Consider the following 8627-nt stretch of genomic DNA (forward strand, 5'->3'; position numbering starts at 1 on the left):
AAAAAATTCCCAAGAAGTGGATCCATCTCTTTTTTACTGATTCTGCAATTTCTTCACTTTTGCCGTCCTCATGGAACTGTCAGCCAGCACACTGAAACGATTCTCCAAAAACAAAAGCATCAATTGGCTTACATCTGTTCTCAGGAAAAGTTCCAGAAATTTCACCATGAAATAAAAACACCCATGTCAATGTAATTCTTGTCAGGTTACTCAGCCTTGTCTCTCACCACTTACTGCATTCTGCCCTTTGCTCTAGCACCAAAGTGGACAGAGTAGAACTCCGCAGGGCTCTTTGTTACCTCAGGATCTTTGCCTTCGCCTCTTCCCTCTTTCTGGCAAGATTTTCCTCATCCTTCAGTCATCAACCTATGTATCCCCTCCACCAGAAAGCCCATGATATTGACACAAAAGTGGGATAGATGTCCCTTCTGTGTGTTCCAGTAGTGCCCCGCTGTATACCTGTCATGATATCTATGACTCTATATGGACATTACCTGCCGGTCTTTTAGGTTATAGCATATGACTATTGGGAGGTGGACCATGCCATCTTCATCTTGTAATTCCAGTGCTGGCTCTAGTACCTTAGCACGTGGCTGTTGAGTGCATGAATGAAGAATGAAAAAGCTGTGATATTTAACCACAATTAGAATTAGTGCCATGTGTAAATGATTTAATAGTAATCTTGTATTGTAATTGCACGTACATATTTCTCATTCTTATTAACTCTGATAATGTTCTCAACTCTACATTTTAAACTTACACTTCGTTAACTGAAATGTTTTAGGTAAAGAACATAATCCTTTCTTTTTCTTTCCAGCTTTTGCTGCGTTGGGCCCTTGCTCCTATCTACTTTCTTCTCTAGAATCCACTGGTAAGCCACATCTAATGAAGAGAATATTTAACCATAAAATCTTAAGGAAAAGTTGTATGATTTAAAAGATCATAAAACTTTATTACTGGGCTATTTACATGAAATTTTAATTGTTTCTCATAAAATATAAAACATCACAATCTTTACTAAAGTAGAATATTTTCATATCATATGATGTATATTTATATGTTATTTTAAATGATTTTTTTAGCCTCCTTAAGTTTTAAGTGGATCTTGCAAATGAACACCAGTGTTATTGAGTTTGACCTACTCAAATTGCCTGAATGTCAGCTGTTTAAACAGCCAAACAACCAAGTCATCATTGATACTGTAGTAAAGGTCATCTTTGCATTTTACACTTTTTATTACCATATATAGTAGGAGACTTAAAGAGTATCTGCCAGGTTTGTCCATACTAGTGTTATGATTTTCTTTTTGTAGTTCAATAGTATTTTGTGTGGAGATACTTTGAAGCTCTGTAAATATCTGGTTACTCCTCAAAACCCACTAGATTTAGCATTTCATGGATGACTTGTGTTTGAACAAGTATTACTGTGATGGTTGCCAGATGATTATTTTTCTTATTTTCTTCTTTGTTCTACATGGAGAAATAAAACCAATAAATAAAGGAGAAGGGAAAGTCATGATTCTGGTGCTCCAGTTCCCAAAGATTAGGCCAGTGGTAGACATTTCAAGCTGACTTTATGTCTTTTTGATTTGTCCCCATTACTCTGTCAGCACTTTTTTACTTTCTGGCACAAGGTGTTCTAAACTAATGTTGTATTTTCTCTGCGGCAACCCTAGAATGAGTAATTTTTCTTAAAAGCAGAGTTGGAGCCACCGAGGAAGCACAGGCGAGCTCTTCCCATCATGCGCTCACTAGTCCCCAACAGAAGAACCACTGTCGCATCCACTGAGGTACCAAGAAACTAGCAAAGGGCCTTCTAGCTGTCTGGGGACAGTCCTCATGTGGTCCCTGGCTCAGCCTCAAGGGTTCTTGATTAGTCTCTCTGCAGCCTCTGTGCTGTGTCTCTAGATCGGGGCTCTGTGGGAAGGGCCCTGGGAGACCCAGCAGCACAGGGTGTCTTGTCTGCCAAATGTCCCTCCCTTCCTCCCACTCTGACACTCAGGAATAGGGAAGATGGCATGTCCAGGCAGTGCCAGGCCACCTCATTGTCTCCTTTCAGATGGGCCCAGAGGGCCTTGCGGGGTGAGTGTGAAGCTGGGTACCTGGAGCCTGAGGCTGACTCCCTCCCTGTGTCTTGGAGGAGAGGCCTTGCAGCCCAAGAAAACCCCCCGGGCCTGACCCCTGGGCACACATGCAGGGAGGGAGGGTCTGTGGGCTGATGGCAGCATTGTAATGAGACTTTGAACACAGCTGCTCAAGGGCCTCATCAGTGGACCATGGTCAGAGATGACCTAGCCATCAGGACCTGGCCAGTTGGGACCTGATCAGCAGGGACCTGGTTAGCGGTGGCCTCCTCAGTGAAGGCCTCACCCAGTGGGTACCTTGTGACCTAGTCATCGGAAGCCTAGTCAGTGGGGACCTGGTCAGTGGTGGCCTTATTAGTGGGGCCTGATCGGTTGGAACATAAACAATAAAAAACTGGTCGGTGGGGTGTATTCAGTATATTAGGGGTCTGGTCAGTGTGGGGCCTTAGTGGCTTGGAGCCTGGTCAGTGAGAGCCTGGTCAGAGGGGGCTCAGTCGGCTGGGGACTGATCCATGGAGAATTATTCAGTGGGGGTGAGGTGAGCAGCAACCTGGTAAATTGTGGTCTTGTCAGTGGGAACCCAGTCAGTGGGGACCAGGTCAGTGGGAAATTGGTCAGTGGGGTCTGGTCCATGAGGCCTACTAATGGGGGCCTGGTTACGGAGACATGGTCCGTGGGGACTTGGTCAGTGGGGCCTGGTCAATGGAGGAGTGCTCATTAGGGGCCTCGTTGGGGGCACCTGGTCAGTAGGAACCTGGCCAGTTAGCCGATGTGTGACCTCAGGCAGGGGTTTTTTCTGTGGAGTCTCCTTGCCTCCATCTGTAGGGAAGGTGAGTCAGGGCACCCTGGAGGGTGCCTGGAAAGGGAACGTGAGAAGATGTATTGAATTCAGCACTGCTTGGGAGACCTCCAACTTTACACACGACCTGGGTTCCACCTAGAGAGGGTGCCAGCCCTCTCTGCTCTGCTCGGCGCCCCTCCTCTGTCTGCATCCCTAGGACCACCCTTGGTGGAGAGGGCAGAAATTGGGGAGCACCTGTGGGAGGCTCTAATCCTGGCCCTGGGCCCTGGTGGTGACAGTGATGAGGACCTGGGTGCACCTGTGAGTGGAGCAGCTAGGCCTGGCCAGAGAAGCAAGACAAACAAACACACCCATATGTACAGACACACACAAACACATGCATACACAAACACAATGCATGCACACATGTCAGTTCAGGGGATAGAGGACACTGACTCTGGGCCCTCTTGACCCAAGCAGGCTCCTGTTGTGGTGGGTTGTGTCATCCCACGATGTCACTCTTGCTGAGTCCCCATCGCCTCTGTGTTTTGGAGCAGTTAGAGACACACAGCAGTCTCTGTGAGTGGCTCTGCGTGAAGGATTGTTTTCTAGGTGAGATGCACATCTCAACACAGCTGACTGCTCAGACTCAGGTGAGTGGGACCTGCTCTCTTCTCTTCCTCCTGGCTTGGGGACAGTCACTATCAAGTGGGTGGTTTTGGCCTCTGGGCAGCTACTGAGGGTAATACCTGAGCACTCACCGGGTGCCTGTTCTGTGCTGACAGTCATCTCATTCATCCTTGCAGCAATTCCATTCTGCATCTCCTCTGGACACCCCCAGGACCACCAGGACAACCCCATCATGGCCCTGTCACCAGGCCCAGTCTGGCTCCATGATAACCAAGATGCAGGTCCAGAGACAACCGCCCTACTTGGTGCCTGCATCTGACCCCCCTTGGTGGGTAGTGACCAGCCCAACATGGAAGAAGCCAGGGCAGCATGCAGCCAGCTGCCCTGCAGCCCCAGATGGCACCTGGGCCTTGGGAAGTCATTCTCAAAGGGGAAGCTGGAAACTTTGATGTCCCTGGAGGGAAGGGTGAACGTGGCATCTGAACAACCCTGGCAGCCAGCAGCATCTTCTCATCCAACCTGTGGGACAGAGGCCCCCTGCTTGGGAATGAGATCCATACCTAAAGGGTCCTGGCCCAGTCAGGCCTCATCCTGGGCCCTGGGAGGGGAGGGGCACTATGGGCCCCCCAGCAGCAGTCAGCATTACCACCCAGGGAACTCAGCCTTCTGTGGCCCTGGCCAGAGTTAGAATTTGGCCCAAGACAGGACAAGCTCACTCAGAGCAGGGTGTCAGTACCCAGGACCTGTGCATGCCAGGCAAGGCCAAGCTGGCTCAAAGAGCAACCAGCCACCTCTGCAAGGGTGTGCCTGGAGCAGATGGACCAGCCACCAGCCTCACCCACTCAAGGAATCAGGGGTGGCCAGGTTCCCACAGCCTGAGGGGCTGCCACTTGACGGCTGATGGAGTGGAGGCCTGAGGAAAAGCAGATGGCACTGGGGCCCTACCTCCAGGGCAGAATAACTGATTTACCCTGACTGGCAGCGAGTGAGGTTGGTGGCTGGTCCACCTGCTCCTGGCACACCCTTGCAGAGGTGGCTGGTTGCTCTTTGAGCCAGCTTGGCCTTGCCTGGCATGCACAGGCCTCAATGCAACCACTGTGCTGCAGATGGAGCCACATAGAGGAAATGAGCAGCAGGCTCAGGAGCAGGGTGTGCACTGCCTTTGGGGCTCCAGTCCATGCATGAGGGCTCCTACAGAACTGTGGGCTTCTTGGGTGCCAAGAGGCAGACCACAGGCCATCTTGAGAAGGACTCCGTGTTCAAGTGCAGAAAGGGCCCAATCTGGTAGATGAACCACACAGCCAGCTTTTGGGTGCAGGCACAGTGCCACATCTTCCATCACTTCCTGATGTGTCACACCAGCACTGAAGAGACAGCCTGGAGACAGGGCAAGAGGAAGGCTGAGAAGGATGAGGTGGTGAATTCCAGCTTCTTCCTGACCCTGAGCCCACCCCCAAGGTGGCCCTCAACCTTTAAGAGTGGGAGAGCAAAATTGATGGCTTCGAGTGCTTCACCAAGAAGATAGAAACACAGGGCACTCAGCTCAACTTCTCAGCCAATGAGTTGACATGCAAGCAGATTATGGTGATGGGTTTTAAGAAGGAGCATCAGAAGGTGGCCAGTTCTTCAGCCTCAGCCAGGTCTTGGAGCTGGGCCAGGCCATCACTTCACCAGAGATGCCTTCAACACCGTTGGTGAGCTCTGCCAATCAGCCCATCCAGGAACTGGACCCAGTCATGGACCTGTTAGTGCTGTCTCAGGGACACCAGGTCAACATCCCGGACATCATCCACATACACAAGGAAGCTCTTACCAAAGTCATGGAGAGCAGGCAACATGTGGCAGAAGGGAAGACAGAGGTGCAGAGGCTGATGATGTCAGAATCACAGGAACAGGATTTCTTTGGACACTGTGGCTGAAATTCACCACTTCCATCCAATTCCGGTGAGAAACATGGACTCACAGATGCAGGATTTCTTGCAACAAGAGATACTATTTTTTCAAAAGGTCACCCAGGAATTGATAGTGTTGAATGACTAGATACTCGATTGTGCACTGTTTCCAGTTCAAGGATGCTTTCTACAGCAGAATAATAACACTAGCAAAGAGCTAGTGCCAGGTATTGGCGGTAGTACAAGGATGGCTTTGTTCTCAATTGAAACTCAGCTGAATATAGAATTGTGTAGGAAACAGTTAATATGGCGATAGAATAGAAACAGTAGCAAACATGACCTAAACCATGCTATGAATTCCTACACTACCATTGTAACTTTTGGAAGAATGATACCACTTACTTTATTGCTTTTTGAAGTATGAATATTTTCATGTATATGCTGTAGACCTCAAACCCTGTGAAGAGTCTCAAAGAAGCTGGCTGGATAAAGCCTGAGTGACTTCTCATGAGACCTGGTCATTGAAAACTCTATGTCACCTCCCTACTCTGCATGTTTTCCTCTTGCCGTGTGAGACAACTCACTCTTTCTTTGCCTTGCACAAAGATTGAAAGATTTCTGAGGCCTACCAGAAGCAGAAGCCCTGTGCTTCCTGTCCACCCTGCAGAACCATGAGCCAATTAAACCTCTTTTTCATAATGAATCATACAGAAAATGGCAAATGAGGACTGGAGCATTGCTATAAAGATACCTGAAAATGTGGAAGCAGCTTTGGAACTAGGTAATGGACAGAGGTTGGAAGAGTTTGGAGGGCTCAAAAGAAGACAGATGAGAAAGTTTGGACCATCTTAGAGACTGGTTAAATGGTTGTGACCAAAATCCTGACAGAAACATGGACAGTGAAGGCTAGGCTGAGGAGGTCTCAGATAGAAATAAGAAGCTTTCTGGAAAATGTCTTCCTTTTGGATATGGAAAGCTTACACAATGCCTGTACCACCCCTGTACCTTAGAAGCAGTGATCTTGCATTTTATTTCAGAGGCTTATAGGCAAAAGAGGCTGCAGCCTTGACTCAGATGAGACTTTGGACTTTGTAACATTGTGTTAATGCTGAAATGAGTTAAGACTCATGCTGGGAAGGCATGATTGTATTTTGCAATGTGAAAAGGACAAGAGATTCGTGGGGTCAGGGACAGAATAATATGGTTTGTCTCTATATCCCTATCAAAACCCGTGTGGAATTATACTCCCTAACGTTAGAGGTGGGGCCTAGGTGGAAAAAGATTTAGTCATAAAATGGTGCAGGTAGATCCTCCACGAATGATAAAGCACCATCCCCTTGATGCTGTCCTCCTGATAGTGAGTGAGTTTTCATGTGATCTGGTTGTTTAACAGGCTGTGGAACCTCTTTCCTCACTCTGTCTTCCTCCTACTCCTGCCATAGGAGACAGCTGATTGTCCCTTGGCCTTCTGGTATAATTAGGAGGCTCCCTGACTCCTCCCAGAAACAAAAGACACTATGCTTCCTTCACAGCCTGCAGAACCCTGAGTCAATGAAACCTCTTTTATTTAGGATAATACAGAAAATTAGAACTGCAGAGAGGAGCTGTGAAATGTCTTCAAGGCCTTTTTCCATTTGTCTTGGCCATTAGCACAGGGCTTCTTTATATGCAAATTTCTGAAGTCTTCTTGAATGTTCCCCCTTAAATCGGGTTTTGTGTTATTACTACATAGCCAACCTGCTATAGAGATACCTGAAAAAGTAGAAGCAGGTTCAGAAGTGGGTAACAAACAAAGATTGGGAGGGTTTGCAGGGATTGGAAAATGACAAAAAGATGAGGGCCTGGTGGGAGTGATTTAATCACGGATGGGAGGCGGGTGGGGTGGAAGGAAAAAGAGGTGGGCAGGGTGGGGAGGAGTAGGCTGGTGTAGGGTGGTGGAAGGGTGGGGTGTAGTGGGAGTGGGGAGTCGCCTGCTGCAGAGGCACAGCCTCATGGACAACCTCTACTAGGGCAGTGCACCTGTGGCTTTGCAAGTTTTAGCCCCCACGGCTGCTCTCATGGACTGGGCTACTGTTGAGTGCCTGTAGCTTTTCCACAGTGGGGGTGCAAGCTGTTGGTGGGTCTATGAATCTGGCTCTGCCTCTGCAGCAGGCTTCTGCCTGGAAACAGTGGGAGGTGGAGGTGGGGGTTGCGGGGGCAGATCCTTCACCAGTGGTTAAGCACCATCTTCTTGATGCTGACCTTGTGATACTGAGTTCTCATGAGATCTGGTTGTATAACAGGGCGGGCTCCTCTTTCCTCTCTCAGTCTTGCTTCTACTGCTGCCACATGAAGCATTTCCTTGCCCCTTGGCCTTCTGGTATGATTGGGAGGCTTCCTGAGTCCTCCCGGAAGCAGAAGCCACTATGCTTCCTTTACAGCCTGCAGAACCGTGAGCCAATTACACCTCTTTCTTTATGATTGTACACAAAATTAGTGCTGTGAAGTGGAGCTATGAAATGCCTTCAAGGCCTTTTCCCCATTGTGTTGGTAACCAGTACTCAGCTTCTTTTCATGAAGATATCTGAAGCCTTTGTGAATTTTTCCCCTGAAAATGGACTTTTCTTGTTTTACCACATTACCAGGCTGTGACAAAGATATCTGAGAATGTAGAAGCAGGTTCAGAAGTGGGTAAAAAAGAGAGGTCAGAAGAGTTGGGAACACTTAGAAGACAGCATGATGAGGAAAATTTTGGACCACTGAAAATAATTGTTAAATACTTGTGATCAGAAGGACAGAAAGATGGACAGTGAAGGCCAGAATTAAAAGGTCTCAGATGAAAATGAGGAACATCTTGTGAACAAGAGCCAAGGTTACATTTGATTGGCCTTAGCCCTGGAGAGCTCTGAAACTGTGAACATGGGAGTAACGATTTAGGATGTATCTGGTGGAATGAGCATCTAGGCAGCATAGCTCAAGAGGTGTCCTCTCTACATCCAACAGCCTGTGTTCTTATGTGTGACCTGAGAAATTACCTCAAGCTGCAACTTCTATTTAAATGAGAAGTAGACCTCAAAAATTTGAAAAGTTTGCAGCCTAGCCAAGTGGTCAAAAAGGAAAGCTGATTTTCAGGGGGAAAATTCAAGAGCACTTAAAGTATTTGCATAAAAAAAGAGCCCAGTGCAAATAGCCAAGACTATGGGGAAAAGGCCTTGAAGGCATTTCAGAGACCTTTGCAGCAGCCCTTGCTGTCATAGGCCCT

General features: G+C 48.0%; 1 protein-coding gene and 2 pseudogenes across 2 annotated transcripts in view; 2 read left to right on the forward strand and 1 right to left on the reverse strand.

The window, feature by feature from the left end:
* ANKRD18B (ankyrin repeat domain 18B) overlaps positions 1-3944 on the forward strand; it is a 51192-nt gene extending 47248 nt beyond the window's left edge. Inside the window, exons 17-20 of one of the 2 annotated variants that reach the window (NM_001353432.2) lie at positions 818-871; positions 1701-1789; positions 3422-3517; positions 3671-3944. In NM_001353432.2, coding sequence (NP_001340361.1) covers positions 818-871; positions 1701-1789; positions 3422-3517; positions 3671-3943 — 512 coding nt within the window. In that variant the 3' untranslated portion in view covers position 3944. Of the gene's footprint in view, positions 1-817; positions 1516-1700; positions 1790-3421; positions 3518-3670 lie in introns of those variants that run through there. The other variant, NM_001393611.1, reaches the window with a different exon arrangement.
* bA255A11.4 (melanoma antigen pseudogene) lies at positions 932-3137 on the reverse strand (annotated as a pseudogene).
* SNX18P7 (sorting nexin 18 pseudogene 7) lies at positions 4004-5516 on the forward strand (annotated as a pseudogene).

This window comes from Homo sapiens, chromosome 9 (genome assembly GCF_000001405.40).
Source record: "Homo sapiens chromosome 9, GRCh38.p14 Primary Assembly".
Taxonomy (NCBI): Eukaryota; Metazoa; Chordata; class Mammalia; order Primates; family Hominidae; genus Homo; species Homo sapiens.